The sequence below is a fragment of the Homo sapiens genome, chromosome 22 (assembly GCF_000001405.40).
Source record: "Homo sapiens chromosome 22, GRCh38.p14 Primary Assembly".
In the NCBI taxonomy this organism is placed as follows: domain Eukaryota; kingdom Metazoa; phylum Chordata; class Mammalia; order Primates; family Hominidae; genus Homo; species Homo sapiens.
In genome coordinates, this window is record NC_000022.11 from 23,705,338 (window position 1) to 23,723,620 (window position 18,283).

The following is an 18,283-nucleotide window of genomic DNA, read 5'->3' on the forward strand; positions in this document are numbered from 1 at the left end:
AGCCATTGAAATCAGGACACCAAAGATAGATCTACCCACCCATGGGGATTCCAGCACTGTTCCCAAGAGCCAGTATAAGCAATCAACCTACCTGCTTATCCACAGATGAAGGGATAAAGAAGCTGCTCCACAGGTACATACTGGGATACTCTTCAGACAGAAAACCACAATGAAATCATATCGTGGGGAACCACACGGTTGCACCTGGAGGACATGATGGTAAATTAAATGAGCAAGGGGGGAGAGACAAACCTTGAGTCATCTCACTCATGCAGAATCTGAGAAACTCTATCTCAAAGACCTGGCGACCACAATATTGGTTTCCAGAGATTGGGGGAAAAGAGGGGTAATGGGCAGGAACTGTAAATGGGTACAAAGTTACACATAAATGAGAGGAAGAAAATTCTGTTGTGCTATTCCACTGCAGGGTGACCACAGTTAACAGTATCAGCACATCACTTTCAAAGCAGCTTGATAGGAGAATACTGAAGGTTCTCACCATAAAGGAATAAACAATGGGAAAAGGTAACAGAAACACTAAGTACCCTGACTTCATCATTCCACAATGTATGCATGGACCATAACGCCCCACTCTACCCTCTCATTGTACTGTTCCTTTACTATGGAACACATTTGTCGAAAGAAATAGAAATACACGATGCTAATATTCACGTGGGACCATGAAGCGAACTGAGTTTCATCCTCAGCAATCCTGAGACATCCAGACTACATCGGATACATCACTCCCTGATTTCAAATTTCATGGAAAAGCTAGGGATCCGCTTCCACACACAGCAGTGGAACACAAGAGAGGACCAAGAAGTAAAACCACACACTGAAAACTATCTGATCTAACACAGAATCCACAAAAGTAAGCAAAGGGAAAAGGACACCCTATTCAATCAATGGTGCTGAAGTAAGTGGCTATCAATGGTGCAGAAGAATAACACTGGGCCCTCCCTCTCACCAGACACAAAGAGGAAATCAAGATGAATGAAAGATTTAAACGTAAAAACTCAAACTATTAAAATCTTATGAGAAAACTTGTGAAATATCCTTCTCCACATAGGCTTTGGCAAAGCATTTAGATGGCTAAGTCCTGAAGAGCAAAGGCAACAAAAACAAAAATTGACAAGTCAGACCTAACACCTGAAAGAGCTGCTGCACAAAAGAGACTACCAACAGAGTAAACAGACGGCGTACAGAATGGAACATGTTCCCAAACTGTGCATCTGACCAACGTCTAATATGCAGAATCTACAAGGCCCTTCAACAAGTCAACCAGGGGAATAAACAGAAAAAGAATATCCCATTAATAAACGGGCAAGGGATGTGAACACACACTGCTCAAAAGTCGATGTACAAGCAACCAACAAATAGGAAAACGTGCTCAAACTCACTCATTATCAGAGAGCTGCCAATCAAAAGCATGACGAGATGCCATTCCACGCAGGTCACAATGGTGAGGACCACGCAGGCAAAGAACACATGCTGGTGAGGCAGCCGAGGAAAGGAAACGCTGGTACACTTCCGGGTGGGATGAAAGCTAGTACAGACACCACCGAAAGCAGATCGGGGATGTCTCAAAGAGCTGAAAACAGAACTACCATCTCACCCAGTAAGCCCACTCCTGTGCATCTACCCAAAGGAAAATTAATCCTTGTATCCAAAAGACACAGGCACTCGTATGTTCACAGCAGTGTTACTCACAATGTCAAAGACATGGAATCCACCTAGCCATCAACAGTGGATGAGAGGCCGGCACAGTGGCTCACACCTGTAATTCTAGCGCTTTGGCAGGCCGAGGCAGGTGGATGGCTTAAGTCCGGAATTCGAGACCAGCCTGGGAAAAATGGTGAAATCCCATCTCTACAATAATACAAAAATTAGCTGGATGTGGTGGTGGGCACCTGTATTCCTATCTAATCAGGAGGCTGAGGTGGGAGGATCACCTGAGCCCGGAACATGGAAACTGCAGGCCACTGTCATAAGTGAACTAAGGCCCAAATAGAAAACCAAATGCCACATGTTCTCACTTATAAGTGGCATTCAGAGCTAAACTTTGAATGGACTCAAACATAAAGAAGAGAACAACAGACACCTGGAATGACCACCAGACCAATAAAAAAACAGGGGAGAGGAAGAGTGTGCTGCAGACCCACCCTGTGGGCCCTCTGCTCACTGCCTGGGTTATGTGGTTGTTGGGACCCCAAGTCTCAGTGTCATGCAATAAACAGATGTAACTAACTTGCATATGTACCTTTTAAACTCTAATAATGAGAGTAGAAAGCATTAAAAGAAAAATCCAAGGTTAGAACCCAAGAAAATAATAAATGAAAAAACAATCTGTAGTTATCCAAACAATCCATGACTGTCACAAACACAGAACGAGGACCTAAGTGACAGAATGAGGCAGCCAAATACTCTATCCAACATGATATGTAAGGAATACATTTTTCAAAACCCCAAAAAGATACAATGGGAAAGGAAGAGTCTGGTTCAATTGATTTTGAGAAAACTGAATATCCACAGGTAAAACACTGAAATAGGGCCCTTACGATGCACGATACACAAAATCAACACAAAATGAATTAAAGACCTAAACTCAATCTTGAAACTGTAAAGGTCCTATAAGAAAATAGAGAGCGGGTGTATATTTTAGGAAACCTGTATCTATGCAAACAGGCTGCAAAAGGCAAAAAAGCATCATAACACTAAAAAAAAAACACCCACAGACAATGCAAGGCATGGCTGTGCGTGTGTGTGCGTGTGTGCGTGCGTGCACACACGCATGTTTCTGTGTTTTGTGGAAGTGGGGTGTTAAACACAAAAATCACTGCTAACATATGCAACTATAACCATATGAGACTAGGGACACTTTGCAACTTCTACAGGGAAAAGAAAACAATGAAACAAACAAAGGCATCCTAAAGACTGAGAGAAACTCTAAAAAATCCTACCCCTGAAAGAGGTTGTTATCTACTACATACAGTAAACTAATATGACTAAGTGTAAAACAACAACAACAACAACAACAACAAATATCCAAGGTAAGAGGATCTAAATAGACCTGAGTGAAAAGGTGGCAGGAAATTGACTCACAGGTGACAGTTTCTCAATATCACTAATCCTCACAAAAATGTGAATCAAAACCATACTCGGTTACCATCTAATTCCACTTAGAATGAGTATTACAAAAGACAAAAATCAAAATTGTTGAAGGCAATGATCAGTGTAGACTTGCAGGAAGAAAAAAATCTTCTACACTCTTTGTGGAATGAAAATTACTATACACTCTATAAAAAACTTTTGGAAGCTCCTTAAAAAAGTAAAAGGTAGGCTGGGCGCAGTGGCACACACCTGTAATCTCAGTACTTTGGGAGGCCGAGGCAGGTGGATCACCTGAGGTCAAGAGTTCGAGACCAGCCTCACCAACATGGTGAAATCCCGTCTCTACTAAAAATACAAAAATTAGCCAGGCGTGATGGCAGGTGCCTGTATTCCCAGCAACTCGGGAGGCTGAGGCAGGAGAATCGCTTGAACGTGGGAGGCGGAGGTTGCATTGAGCCGAAATCGCGCCACTGCACTCCAGCCTGGGCAACAAGAGCAAGACTCTGTCTTTAAAAAACAAAACAAAACAAAACTAAACTAAAGGTTAAAGTACAACTGCCACTCCAGCTAACAATCCCACCACTGGGTACATGTTTAGAGAAAATGAAATCCCTGTGTTATCTGCCTTTTCATGTGTCCTGAAGTACTAGTCACAATAGCCAAGATGTGGAATCAACCTACCTGTCTATCCACAGATGAAGGGATAAAGGAACCACAGTATATATACACAAGGAAACACACTTCAGCTCTAACACTTTGGGAAATCATGTCATCTGCAACCACTTGGAGAAATCTGGAAGACAATTAGGTGAAATGAAATGAGTCTGCTAGGGAGACCCACACTGCATGACATCAGGCATATGGAATCCAAAACACATTGTCTCCTAGAAGCAGAACTTCCAATAGGGGTTACTACAGGCTGGGGAGAGCAGGGAGCCTGGGCAGGGATGGGTAACGGGTACAGAGTGATGCTCAGATACGAGGAATCCATTCTGGTGTTCTGTTACACAGCAGGGTGACTAGGTGACTAGGGTCAACAGAATCTACAAAAATTTTTCAAAATCAGCTGGAAAATACGGTTCTGAATATTCTCTCCACAGAGAAGTAACAATGATGGAAGGTCACAGAGATGCCAGATATGATGATTTGATCATGATGCTACATATACATGTCAAAATGTCCCTTGCACTCTTACGGTTGTGTGTGTTTGTGTGTGTGTGTATATATATATACACATACACACACACATACTCTACAGAAACAAAACTGCCATCAAATGTTGGTAGTATTCATTCTAACTGCAGTGAGATGAAATCTTCAGTGTGATTTTCACTTACGCTTTTGTGTGAATCAGCGATGGTGAGAATCTTCTCTTCTACCTGTGCCTCCACCTCACGTCTTCAGGTCCTCCATCCAGTCCTAACAACAAATTAAAAACAAATTCACAATAACTTAGCAAGTACCACTTATCATACACACACAAAAATCAAAAACACACTCAAGATTCCATCTCACTCTACATGCAATGGATGCTACAAGAAAAAAGTTGAAACATTAAAGCACAAAAAAATCAAGGTGTGGATTTCCAGAGGAGGAACTTGTCTCCACAGTTGCTGGGAAACGGTGAACTAGTACGCACACTAAAGAAACCACTTGGGTGTTCCTTGAAATCCTAAAACTTCAACTACCGTTTTCTCCAGCAATTCTATTCCTAGGTATATACACAGAGCACGTGATCAGGACATGGAAGAGATTATCTGTCATCCCAGGTGGAATTCAGCCCTATGCCCAAAAGCCAAGATAAGAAATCAGCCTACCTGTCCATCCACAGATGAAGGGATGAAGAATCTCTAGTATACAGACACAATGGGATACTTTTGGGCCATCAAAATTCATGGAATCCTATCATTTCCAGCAACATGGCTACACCTGGAGATACTATGTTCAATCAAATCAGAAAGGCAGACTAAGACCAAGCCTGCATGTTCTCACTCATGTAGGAGCTGAAAAATTTAACTGACTGAAGGTGGAAATACAGCAGTGGTCACCACAGGCTAGCTGGAGGAGAGGATATCAAGGATTGGCAATAGGTACACAATAGGTACACAGAGAGTTACAGGAGAGGAATACATTCTGGTATTCCACTCCAAAGCACGGCGACGATACTTAACAACATGATCATGCCATTTTCAAAACAGCTACCAAGGAGGATACTGAATGTTCACACATCGAGGATATAAAACCTATACGTGGTCACAAGCATGGGAAACTCCCTGATTTTATCCATACTCAAGGTATACAAACAAGTATCACAATGTCCCAATGCACCCCTAATTCTGGACATGAAGTATGAAACAAACGTTTTATGAAATGTTAACGATACATGGCTAAAAATTCACATGGAACCACCAAAGACCCAAAGAACCTGAATATGCAAAGCAATCCTAGGGAATACAAACTCAATTGGAGGCCGCACAATCCCCAGTTTCAAATTACAAGTAAAACCTCCACTCATCCAAAGACTACAGTAGTGGCATAAAAATGAATCCACGAACCTAGGGACGTAAGAGAACCTAAACACACACCTGTACGCAGTCAACACATTTTTTTCAAAGAACACCTAGAAGATGCAATGAGGCCGGGTGCTGTGGCTCACACCTGTACTCCCAGTGCTTTCGGAGACCAAGTCGGGTGGATCACTTGAGGTCAGGAGTTTCAGACCAGCTTTGCCAAAATCGTGAAATCCTATCTCTAGTAAAAATACATGCAAAACCAGGTAACCCAGCCAAAGTTGGGCAATGAACCCGAAGAGACATTTCTCAAAAGTCCCAGCTACTCGGGAAGCTGAGGTGGGAGAATCACCTGAGCCCCGGGAGGTCAAGGATGTAGTGAGCTGAGATTGCACCACTGCCCTCCAGCTTGAGCAACCAGAGCCAGACACTATCTCAAAAAAAAGGAAAAAAGGAGAAAGAAATAAACTACACAGAGAAAGACAAACATCACATTTTCTCACTCAGGAGGAATCCACAAAACTTTATTTCATAGAACTAGTAAGCATAACTGTTCTTACCACGGGTGGGGGTTGAAAGGTGGGGCATAGTCAGAGATTGGAAACGGCATAAAGTTACATACTCCGTGAGAGGAATGAAACCTGTAGTTCTATTCCACAGCAGCAGGGTGACTAGGTCTAACATTATCAGAGCGTACTTTTCAAGAAAGCTAGAAAAAGAGGATACTGAATGTCTTCACCTCAAAGGAATAATAACTCTATGAGGCAAGAGAGATGCTAAATACCCTGATTTCATCATTACACAATGTACGCATGGACCAAAGTGTCTCATTCTACCTTCTGGTAGTACACCTTTACCATAGGGTAAATTTTTATAAAGAAATTTAAGGAAACAGGCTGAGCATGGTGGCTCATGCCTGTAATCCCAGCATTTTCAGAGGCTGAGGTAGGTGCATCACTTGAGGCCAGGAGTTCGAGATCAGCCTGGTCAACATGGTGAAACCCCATCTCTACTAAAAATACAAAAATTAGCCAGGCATGGTGGCACACGCCTGTAATCCCAGCTACTTTAGGGAGACTGAGGCAGGAGAATTACTTGAACCTGGGAGGCGGAGGTTTCAGTGAGCCAAGATCGTACCACTGCACCACTCCATCCTGGGTGACAGCACAAGACTCTGTCTCAAAAAAACAAAAAACAAACATAAAAAAAAACGTGTATTTGGCCAGGGGCAGTGGTCATACTTGTAATCCCAACACACCACCACAGGGAGGCTGAAGAGGGAGGATCACTTCAGCCCAGTAGTTCAAGACCAGCCTGGGTAACATAGAGAAACCACATCTTCCCTAAAAAATAACAAAAATTAGCTGGGCGTGGTGGTGTGTGCCTGCAGTCCCATCAGCCCCAAGTACTTGGGAGGCTGAAGTGGGAGGATTGCTTGAGCCAGGAGTTTGGGGCGGCAACGAGCTACGATCTTGACGCAGGGTAGGTAGTCAAGGAAGTGACCGTGTCCTTCGGACGTGCCAACCACGGCGCTGAGACATCTGATGTGTGAACAAGCATGTACAGCTACAGCCCATGTGCACCCAGAGGATGACCCAGAACGTGCTTAGAGTAACACCTCTTCCAACTCCTTAGGAATTCATCATGGAAGACTCCCAGAAAGGGAGTTTCCCCAGTAATAATCAGCGCTCTCTCATCCTTAGGAGCAGACTGCCCTGAATCCTCTCTCAGGGTGAACCGTGTATTTTGGACTTCACGATCTTTTTTTAGATGGGGTCTCGCTCTGTCACCCAGGCTGTCTCAGCCTCCCGAGTACCTGGGATTATATAATGGAGTGTTGCAATCTCAGCTCACTGCAACCTCCACCTCCCAGGTTCAAGCAGTTCTCCCATCTCAACCTCCCTAGTAGCTGGGATTACAGGCATAAGCCACTGCACCCAGGCTATTCTGCACTTAACTTGCAAAATACTTTTCCCTTTACAATAAATTGCTCTATGCTGCATCACCTTTGCTGTGTGATTTCTTATTTAAATTCTTTTTTATTTATTTTAATTATTCATTCTTTTTGAGACAGGGTCTCACTATGTTGCCCAGGCTGGTCTCGAACTTTTGAGCTCAAGCGGTCTGCTGACCTTGGCCTCCCAAAGTGCTGGGATGACAGGCATTAGCCACCACACCCAGCCTAAATTCTTTGAAACTTACAACTGCGGCCCCACAACAGCTGTCAATCATCGCACCACTGCCATCCAGCCTGGGCAACAGTGCAAGGCCTCATCTCACAAAAGGAAAAAGATATATTTAAAAAAAAAAAAATTAAAAAACATTTTTTTTTCTTAAAGACAGGGTATTCCAGCCATGTGCGGTGGCTCACAGCTGTAATCCTTGCACTTTGGGAGGCCGAGGCGGGTGAATCATTTGAGGTCAGGAGTTCAAGACCAACCAGGCCAATATGGTGAAACCCCATCTCTGCTAAAAAAAAATACAAAAATTAGCTAGATGTGGTGGAAGGTGCCTGTAATCCCAGCTACTCGGGAGGCTGAGGCAGGAGAATCACTTGAACTCGGGAGGTGGAGGTTGCAGTGAGCCCAAGATTGCACCAGTGCCCTCCAGTCTGGGCTCCTACAGAGTGAGACTCTAGCTTAAAAACAAATAAAAATAAAAAAGACAGGGTCTCCCTCTGTTGCCCAGACCAGAGTGCAGTGGCGTGGTCACAGCTCACTGCACCCTTGACCTCCCAGGCTCAACAGATTCTCCTGCCTCAGCAGCTGGGACTACTGGCATGCATCACCATGCCTGACGGTTTTTAATTTTTTGTGGTGATGGTCTCGCTATGTTGCCCAGGCTGGTCTTAAACTCCTGGCCTAAAGTGATCCTCCTACCAAGTCCTCCTTACAAAGAGCTGGGATGACAGGCGTTAGCCACCGCACCCGGCCCCTCGAAGCTGCCTGTTCCTTGAGCACAATGTGTAGCAAGGGGAGCTAGAGTGAGAGCAGCACCGTGGGGAAGGGACAGGATTGCCACCCTGAGCTGTGTGACGTTAGGCCAGACCCCTCTTCTCCAAGCGAGATCTACCACATGGGTGATTTCGGGAGCCCACGCCGGCTCAGACAGCCTGGATTTTAGCTTCATAGGTGGATGGGAACCTATGAAGGTTTAGAGATGCTGGGAGAGCTTTCCAAACAGAGAACAAACACAGCCACCCTGGGCCCCACTGAGGGAGGATCTTACCAGAAGCCCTCACCACTGTCTCGCTTCACGCCGGTGGTGACGGTGACGTCATCGATGTAGGTGGGGGGTGTCGTGTATAGAAGCAGAGACCACAGCAGTCCTGCGTAGCTGAAGAAGTCAAAGTCTGTGTTCTGGACAAAGTAACCCTTGGGATACCTAGGGCGGGAGAATTGTGGTTCGCTGGGCCCTTGCCATGGGTCTTTTGACCTCAGCTCACATGCCTCCCCAGATCCAGGGCCTCCTCTCTGCGAAGGCCACCCTGTCCCTGGCAGGAAGACCACAGGGTGGGGCGGGAAGGTGGGTGCGTGCAGTGGAGGCAGGATGGTCCCCACTTGGAGGTGTCGGTCATGTACAGATGGTCCCTGGTGGCAGGGTTGGGGGGTGAGCGTGTTGTTGATGGCGATAGTGATGCAGAGGTGGGAGGGCAGGGGCTCCACCTGGAACAGGCTGCTGATGTCGGCCTCAAAGGGGAGGTAGCCCCCTTCATGCTCTACCGTGTCGACCCCATTTACCCACTGCAGACATAGGAGATATGGGGAGGGGGTGGCAGGTCAGGGCATGAGGAGGGGCACTGCTATCAGGCACTCCCTCACATAACCTGCAGTATGGGGATCGGGGGCCTGCCAGCCAGACGGGAAGAATGACATCCCAATGGGGTACATCAGGCCACCTATCCCTCTACACAGGGCACAGCCTCCAGGGCAGGGCAAGGACCCCCACCGTCCCACCCCAGAAGACAGGCTATGGGTGGTAGCTGAGGGTCCCATGCTGTTCAGCAGCTGTGCCCACCCACCCGCCCTGCCTGCTCCTGGCCTCACTGACCACGATGGCATAGAAGTGGGCACTGCCAATCCTCAGCACCACTCTTGTGCACAGGTCCTGGATCCATCGCTCCAGCAGGGTCACCTCCCGTTCATACCACAACCAGCTGACAAAATGCCGCAGCCGCCAGCCCTGGCCGATGTCGTTGAAGCTGGAGGGAACCGGCATGTCCACGGTGGGGCCTGACTGCGAAGAGAAGGGCTGGGCTCAGCTCCTAGGCCCCCCAAAGGGATCCAGGACCAGTGTACTGCACAGCCACGCCCCCAGGCCTAGCGCAAACACTGACACACGGTGGGGACTCCTGGTGGAACAGACAGATAACTTGCTGATGACAGGTCAATTGCCAGGGCGGTTTGTACACCTGGGCCAGTGGGGCCAGGAGTTCCTCCTTGGAGCGGATGGAACCCAGTATCTCCCAAGACAGGGGTGAGCCCAGGGGCACATCCCAGCACGAGGCAAGAAGGTTCAGACCTGTGACTAAGAGGCAGATGGCCCACTGCCTGTCACAGGGAGGAAGGCTGGTTAGGGGGATGGGGGGTGCTTTGCTTAGGACACTGTGAGTGGGGCACACGCTGGCACCCAGCCTTCTCCTCTCTTTCTCCTGTACTGAATGCCGTAAAGTCAGAAAAAGAGGATGTAGGCTGGGTGCGGTGGTTCACACCTGTAATCCCAGCACTTCGGGAGGCAGAGGCAGGCAGATCACAAGGTCAGGAGTTCGAGACCAGCCTGGCCAATATGGTGAAACCCCATCTCTACTAAAAATACAAAAATTAGCTGGGTGTGGTGGGCCTGTAGTCCCAGCTACTCAGCAGGCTGAGGCAGGAGAATCACTTGAACCCGGAAGGCTGCACTGAGCCAAGATCGTGCCATTGCACTCCAGCCTGGGTAGCAGAGAGAGACTCCGTCTCAACAAAAAAAAAAAAAAGAAAGAAAAAAAGAAAAAGAGGATGTACACCAGGCAAACGCGGCCCAAACCTCATCGGATCCCACTTCTCTGCTGACCACATCCAAGTCAGGAGGGGAAGAGGGGTGGCGTCCTTGGCCTGAGGTCACATTCTGTCCTCTATCTGAACCGTGAAAACCAAGGTACCTTCCCACCTTGGCAGAGCTGACCTCAAAATATCTAAACTGTCGCCTCCTCCCGATCCCCGGGCCCAGCTCTGGGCAGCGCCTGCCTCTCAGGCCTGACGAGTGCCTGGGTGGCTCATGCCTGTAATCAGCACTTCAAGAGGTTAATGTGGGAGGATGGCTTGAGGCCAGGAGTTCGAGACGAGCCTGGGTAACTTAGCGAGACCTATATCTTAAAAATACGAACAAAAAAAACAAAAAAAATTGATTTTGTTTTTAAGACGGAGTCTCACTCTGTCTCACAGGCTGGAGAGCAGCGGCGTGTTCTCGGCTCACTGCAACCTCCGCCTCCCTGGTTCAAGCAATTCTCCTGCCTCAGCCTCCCAAGTAGCTGGGATTACAGGTGCTCACCACCACGCCTGGCTAATTTTTGTATTTTTAGTAGAGATGGGGTTTCACCACGTTGGCCAGGCTGGTCTTGAATTCTTGGCCTCAGGTGATCGGCCTGCCTCGGCCTCCCAAAGTGTTGGGATTACAGACGTGAGCCACGAGCCCGACCAAGTTTGTTTGTTTGTTTGTTTAAATTAGCCAGGCATGGTGGTCCCAGGTAACTTGCAAGGCTGGGGCGGGAGAATCGCTTGAGCTCAGAAGTTAGGATTGCACCACTCCGCTCCCACCTGGGCAGCAGGGCCAAACCCGGTCTCAAAAGCATTTCAAAAATTAAAATTAAACATTAGAAAGAAGGACACTGCCCGGGCTCAGCCTTCGCCTAGGAACGGGACTCGACAGGAGCGCTTCTTCCTCCTCCCGCCTCCACCGCTCCGGCCCTCGCGGGTCCCCCAGGTACTCCCGTTCTCCAATCCCGCGCCCCCAAGCCCGTTGACCTTTAACCTCCTCCGGGCCCCCAGCTCCGGGGCACTACGGTGAAGGAGGCTGCAGGGCGCCGGGGCTTACCCCATTCCCACCGCCGGGCTTCCGGGCGACTCCTGGCCCTGCCCCGAGTCCGCGCCTCCGACAGCGGTCGCCGGTACCTCTGCTCCTCGAAGCCCCGGCGTCGGTTGTCGGAGAAGTCGGCGCGGAAGCTTCAGAGGCCGTCCAGCTGCTTGCGCTGCCACGACGGGCTCTCTCGGGGATACAGCATCCCGTCCGGTAGCGCCAACGTGCAGCCATACAACAGCAGCCGGAGAGCCGCCCAGGCCACTGCCGCCCCCCAGGCGAGGCTTCCCCCTCCCCGTCTCGGCCGCAGTCTACGGGGATAAGAGCTGCGCGGGAGGAGCATTGCGGCAAGGTCGCGTGACGCGCCGGTAGCGTGACGCGACTTAGGTCGTCCGCGCCATCTTTGTTGAGGGCGATTGCCAGGCCTGGAGGGGCGGGGCGGCGCCTGTGGCTGGAACCCTGGGCTAGGCCTTTAGGGAAGCGGGACCCCCACCCTCAGCCCCAACCAAGAAGGGCGTCGTCTGCTCCCCATCGTCGTCTGCTCTGTGCTGGATGATCCAGGGCCACAGGCCAGGACAGAACCCCTGAGATTGGTGGGATCCCCGTTTCTTCAAGGGGCACCTCCACTTGCTTTCCCCAGCAGGAACTAGAGCAGGCCCCAGTGGAGCCTCTTCCATGACTGCTGGATGCAGCCTCTTGCAGGCATGCACGTCCTTGGGAGGCGGCGGTAGCCCTGACCCTGGGCCTCTGGGACCTCGACCCTAACCGAGGGGCCAGAAGCTCCCTCTTGGCGTTGAAGACACATGAAGATGCAGGGAGAGAGGCCAAGTGCAGTGGCTCACGCCTGTAATCCCAGCACTTTGGGAGGCTGAGGTGGGCAGATCATTTGAGGCCAGGAGTTCGAGACCAGCCTGGCCAACATGGCAAAACCCCATCTCTACTAAAAATACTAAAAAAAAAAAAAAAAAAAAAAAAAAAAAGCCAGGCATGGTAGCAGGCACCTGTGATCCCAGCTACTTGGGAGGCTGAGGCTGGAGAATCGCTTGAACCCAGGAGACGAAGGTTGCAATGAGCCGAGGTTACACCACTGCACTCCAGCCTGGGCAACACAACAAGAATCTATCTCAAAAAAAAAAAAAAAAAAAACATTGCACAGAGAGGGTGCCCTGCGGGACCCCACTTTACTCCAGTAGGGAAGGCACCGTGTGGAAGGGTAGAGGAAGAGATCTGGAGACAGTAAAAAAGACAAAGGTTTATTGAGGGGACTTTCACACAGGTGCAGTGGCTATGGCTGGACATGAGAACCACTACATGATTTGTAAAAACCATGCAGCTTCCATAACATTTTCACCTAACATCCTCGACCAGTTACCGGTGGAAGGTATCCAACTTCCCAGTGGTGAATCCATACACATCTGTAGCAACCTCAATTCTTGCCGCCTCAGAAGAAAGAATTTGACCGAGGGTCATAAGGCAGAAACCAGACAGAGGCAAGTTGCAGAGTAGGAGTAAAAGTTTATTAAAAAGCAGGCCGGGGCCGGGCATGGTGGTTCATGCCTGTAATCCCAGCACTTTGGGAGGCTGAGCCAGGTGGATCACCTGAGCTCAGGAGTTCAAGATCCGCCTGGCCAACATGGTAAAAACATGTCTGTACTAAAAATACAAAAATTAGCTGGGTGTGATGGTGAGCGCCTGTAATCCCAGCTACTCAGGAGGCTGAGGCAGGAGAATCTTTTGAACCTGGGAGGTGGAGGTTGCAGTGAACGAGATTGAGCTACTGCACTCCAGCCTGGGCTATAGAGTGAGATAGTATCTAAAAAAAAAAAAAAGTTTATTATAAAACTTTAGAACAGGAAATAAAGGAGGAAAGGAAAGAAGGAAAGTACAACTTGGAAGAGGGCCAAGCAGTCGACCTGAGAAACCAAGTGCCCAGCTTGACCTCTTGACTCAGGGTTTCATAGGTTGGCATCGTTCCAGGATCTTGCCATTCCTGATTCCTTAGCTTGGGGCTCCGAACACACATTCTTCTTAGACCATAAAGTCATTCTTCTTTTTTTTTTTTAATTTTATTTTTTTGAGAAGGAGTCTTGCTCTTTCGCCCAGGCGGCACTGCAGTGGCACTATCTCGGCTCACTGCAAGCTCCGCCTCCCGGGTTCACGCCATTCTCCTGCCTCAGCCTCCTGAGTAGCTGGGATTACAGGCGCCCGCCACCGCGCCCGGCTAATTTTTTGTATTTTTAGTAGAGACGGGGTTTCACCGTGTTAGCCAAGATGGTATCGATCTCCTGAGCTCGTGATCCGCCCGCCTCGGCCTCCCAAAGTGCTGGGATTACAGGCGTGAGCCACCGCGCCCGGCCGACCATAAAGTCATTCTAAGGGTACACATCAGTTATGGCTGTTGGGTGCCTCTGCCATACAGAGGGGTCCCTTTGGTCCTAGGAACCTGGACTGGACACAGTTGTTTGTACGATTACTCCCCCACCCCATTTTTTCATGCTCGCCAAATCCACCTTCTGAGAATGGACCTTAATACTGGAAGGATACCCCAGTATAGTGAAAATAAATACATTCTAGGAACTGACAAGGCCTAAAGGCTTTTTCCCAAATGTTTATGCTTGTTTTCTTATTTAGTTATTTAGTTTTTTTTTTTTTTTTTTTGAGACAGAGTCTCGCTCTGTCGCCCAGGCTGGAGTGCAGTGGCACAATCTCGGCTCACTGAAAGCTCCGCCTCCCGGATTCAGGCCATTCTCCTGCCTCAGCCTCCCGAGTAGCTGGGACTACAGGTGCCCGCCACCATGCCAGGCTAATTTTTTGTATTTTTAGTAGAGACGGGGTTTCACTGTTAGCCAGGATGGTCTCGATCTCCTGACCTCGTGATCCACCCGCCTCTGCCTCCCAAAGTGCTGGGATCACAGAAGTGAGCCACCATGCCCAGCCTATTTTCTTTCTTTAAAATTTTACTTGTATATTCCTTTAGTAAAATGCTTACATGCTTAAATTAGGATATAGTTCACTGTTGATGAGGCAGCTTTAGGCCAAATTTAACAAAAGTAAGAAAAAGTAGGATGCCAAAGTTTATACAGTATGTAAAAATCAGTAATTCAGGACGGGCTTAGTGGCTCACACCTGTAATCCCAGCACTTTGAGAGGTGGAGGCAGGAGGATGACTGGAGCCCAGGAGTTTGCAACCAGCCTGGGCAACATAACGAGACCGCTGTCTCTACAAAAAATAAAAAAATTAAAAAATTAGCTATGTGGAGTGGTGCACGCCTATAGTCCCATCTACATGAGAGGCTGAGGCAGGAGGATTGATAAAGCCCGGGAAGCAGAGGTTGCAGTGAGCCGAGATTGTGCCACTGCACTCCAGCCCAGGTGACAGAGCGAGACCCCATCTCAAAAAAAAAAAAAAAAAAAAAAGACTAAAGGGTGCCAGAGAAGATGCCTTCCTTTTTTCCTTTTCCTTCTTTCTTTTTTTCTTTTTTTTTTTTTTTTTGAGAGTCGCGCTCTGTCGTCTAGGCTGGAGTGCAATGGCCTGGTCTCGGCTCACTGCAACCTCTGCTTCCCGAGCTTCATCAATCCTCCTGCCTCAGCCTCTCATGTAGCTGGACTATAGGCGTGTGCCACCTGGTTCAAGCAATTCTCCTGCATCAGCCTCCTGAGTAGCTGGGATTACAGGCGCCCACCACCACGCCCGGCTAATTTTTGTATTTTTAGTAAAGACAGGGTTTCACCATGTTAACCACACTGGCCTTGAACTCCTGACTTCAGGTGATCCGCCCGCCTCGGCCTCCCAAAGTGCTGTGATTACAGGCATGAGCCATCGCGCCTGGTGAATTCAAATATTTTTTACGTTTACAGTTGGTTAAGAAAGCAAAGCTTTATCTAAAACCTTGGGGTCAGCAGAAGGGATGTTAAGTTTTCACCTGTGAGTCTGATTCCCTCCAAGCCCCTCAGGAAGAAATTTAGAACAAAGAACTCCAATCAGAGTTCAGCCCTTGGTTCACCCTTATCTGAGGTCAACGTGAAAGCTGTCGCCATTTTTCATCTGGTTGAGGTCTGCGCTTCTGAAAAACAACTTAGGGACATTTGTCAAGATGTTATCTTTACTTTCTATAGGGGATCAAATATCTTGTGGCTCTAACCGACTTGGGTGGCTGTTGTTCTGAGCTATTATTACTTTTTCTTGTTTTTTGTTTTTTGTTTTTTTTTTTGAGACGGAGTCTTGCTCTGTTGCCCAGACTGGAGAGCAATGGCCCAATCTAAGCCCACTGCACCCTCCGCCTCCCGGGTTCAAGCAATCCTCCTGCCTCAGCCTCCCGCGTAGCTGGGATTACAGGCATCCGTCACCACACCCAGCTAATTTTTGTATTTTTAGTAGAGATGGGGTTTCATCACATTAGCCAGGCTGATCTCGAACTCCTGACCTCAGTTGATCTATCTGTCTCGACCTCCCAAAGTGCTGGGATTACAGGTGTGAGGCACTGAACCCAGCCAATTATTACCTTCTTCTCATCAAGTTGCTAATTTACTTCTCAAGATAGCTAGGTGCCCGGAATTTCCCTCGAAGGGTAATGTGGTTTGGGTATGTGCCCTCCAAATCTCATGTTGAGATGTGATTTCCAGCCAGGCGCAGTGGCTCACACCTGTAATCTCAGCACTTTGGGAGGCTGAGGTGGGCAGATCACTTGAGGTCAGGAGTTCAAGACTAGCCTGGCCAGTATGGTAAAACCTTAATTCTACTAAAAAAAAAAAAAATACAGGCCGGGTGCGGTGGCTCATGCCTGTAATCCCAGCACTTTGGGAGGCCAAGGCGGGTGGATCACAAGGTCAGGAGATCGAGACCATCCTGGCTAACACGGTGAAACTCTGTCTCTACTAAAAATACGAAAAATTAGCCAGGCGTGGTGGCGGGCGCCTGCAGTCCCAGCTACTTGGGAGGCTGACGCATGAGAATGGCGTGAACCCGGGAGGTGGAGCTTGCAGTGAGCCGAGATAGTGCCACTGCACTCCAGCCTGGGTGACAGAGCAAGACTCTGTCTCAAAAAAAAAAAAAAAAAATTAGCCGGGCGTGGTGGTGTGCATCTGTAGTCCCAGCTACTCGGGAGGCTGAGGCAGGAAAATTGCTTGAACCTGGGAGGCAGAGGCTGCAGTGAGATGAGATCACACCACTGCACTGCAGCCTAGGTGAGAGAGCAAGACTCTGTCTCAAAAAAAAAAAGAGATGTCATTCTCGGAATTGGAAGTGAGGCCTGGTGGCAATGATGGGATCATCCCCTTGGTGATGAGTGAGCTCCCACTCAGGTAGTTCCCATGAGATCTGGCTGTTTATAAGAGTGCAGCGCCTCCCTGTTCTCTCTCTCACTCCCTCTTTCACCATGTGACATGCCGTATCCCCTTTTGCCTTTGTGAAAAGAAAATAAATCTTGGGACCCCTCCTACCCTGACAAGTCACTAAGCCAAAGGGAAAAGTCAAGCTGAGAGCTGCATCAGGAAAAGGTAGGATAGGCATGATGGGGGCAGAGAGGGCTCTCCCCTCGCCCACTAGAAATGTCAGCAGATGGTTTGGCGATCATCCCATTGCCTCTCTAAAAGGGATAAATTGGCCGGGCACAGCACCTTGTGAGGCCGAGGCGGGCGGATCACTTGATGTTAGGAGATCGAGACCAGCCTGGCCAACATGATGAAACCCCGTCTCCACTAAAAATACAAAAATATTAGCTGGGCATGGTGGTGTGTGCCTGTAGTCCTAGTTGCTCAGGAGGCTGAGGCAGGAGAATTGCTTGAACCCAGTAGGTGAAGGTTACAGTGATATCGCACCACTGCACTCAAGCCTGGGTGACAGAGCCAGATTCTGTCTCAAAAAAAAAAAAAAAGTGACAAATTGGCAGCTGGCACCAGGAAAAGGCCATTGCCTGCTGGTCCACACCTGTTGCATTAAAGTATGAATTGAATGCAGGCACAAGGGAGAGGCACAAGGGGGCTTCTGATAAAATGTCAGGTATTGGATGAGTGAGTCCAGGCATGTGCAGTAAGAGACAAAATGGGGGAGTATGACCTTTCGGGGGCACTCCACCAGAAAAGGGAAGAAAGCCTTAGATGGGTGTGCACAGAAGTTTCTAAACACATAGCGGGTGCTCACCTGCCCCCTGTGGCAGCCCACCCTAAAGGAAGGAACATGGGAAAGAGGCCAGCCTATAAAGTCCTAGGGTCAAGGTTAAACACCGCACTTGACCTTGGTGCCCTCTTGGGTCTCTTCCAAGCGTACTTTTCTTTCCTTTCTTTCCTATTCTAAAGCCTTTTAAATAAACTTCCACTCCAGGGCTGAGCACGGTGGCTCATGCCTGTAATCCTAGCATTTTGAGAGGCCAAGGCAGGTGGACCACTTGAGGTCAGGAATTCAAGACCAGTCTGGCAACATGGTGAAGCATCGTCTCTACTAAAAATACAAAAATTAGCCAGGTCTGGTGGCACATGTCTATAGTTCCAACTACTAGGGAGACTGAGGTAGTAGAATCACTTGAACCCAGTGGGTGGAGGTTGCAGTGAGCTGAGATGGTGCCACTGCACTCCAGCCTAGGCAACAAAAAAAAATTTTTTTTTTTTTTGAG

At 48.5% G+C, this 18,283-nt stretch overlaps 1 pseudogene across 1 annotated transcript in view, besides 3 other annotated features; it reads right to left on the reverse strand.

Annotated features, from left to right (window-relative positions):
* Nucleotides 1-12,086, reverse strand: part of GUSBP11 (GUSB pseudogene 11) — a 78,937-nt pseudogene extending 66,851 nt beyond the window's left edge. The window contains exons 1-6 of the transcript NR_024448.2: nt 11,694-12,086; nt 9,672-9,857; nt 8,850-9,005; nt 4,449-4,530; nt 3,793-3,904; nt 92-204 (exon numbers count right to left, since the gene is read on the reverse strand). The product of NR_024448.2 is annotated as a GUSB pseudogene 11 (transcript). The remainder of the gene's footprint in view (nt 1-91; nt 205-3,792; nt 3,905-4,448; nt 4,531-8,849; nt 9,006-9,671; nt 9,858-11,693) is intronic.
* Nucleotides 11,577-12,216: an enhancer, noted in NCBI's record as "H3K27ac-H3K4me1 hESC enhancer chr22:24059101-24059740 (GRCh37/hg19 assembly coordinates)". NCBI's record gives its function as "activates a minimal SCP1, AML or CMV promoter by ChIP-STARR-seq in naive and primed H9 embryonic stem cells {active_cell/tissue: H9 hESC(naive and primed)}" and the evidence as "EXISTENCE:reporter gene assay evidence [ECO:0000049][PMID:30033119]".
* Nucleotides 12,007-12,166: an enhancer, noted in NCBI's record as "active region_18757". NCBI's record gives its function as "activates an Ori minimal core promoter by ATAC-STARR-seq in GM12878 lymphoblastoid cells {active_cell/tissue: GM12878}" and the evidence as "EXISTENCE:reporter gene assay evidence [ECO:0000049][PMID:35858748]".
* Nucleotides 12,217-12,856: an enhancer, noted in NCBI's record as "H3K27ac-H3K4me1 hESC enhancer chr22:24059741-24060380 (GRCh37/hg19 assembly coordinates)". NCBI's record gives its function as "activates a minimal SCP1, AML or CMV promoter by ChIP-STARR-seq in naive H9 embryonic stem cells {active_cell/tissue: H9 hESC(naive)}" and the evidence as "EXISTENCE:reporter gene assay evidence [ECO:0000049][PMID:30033119]".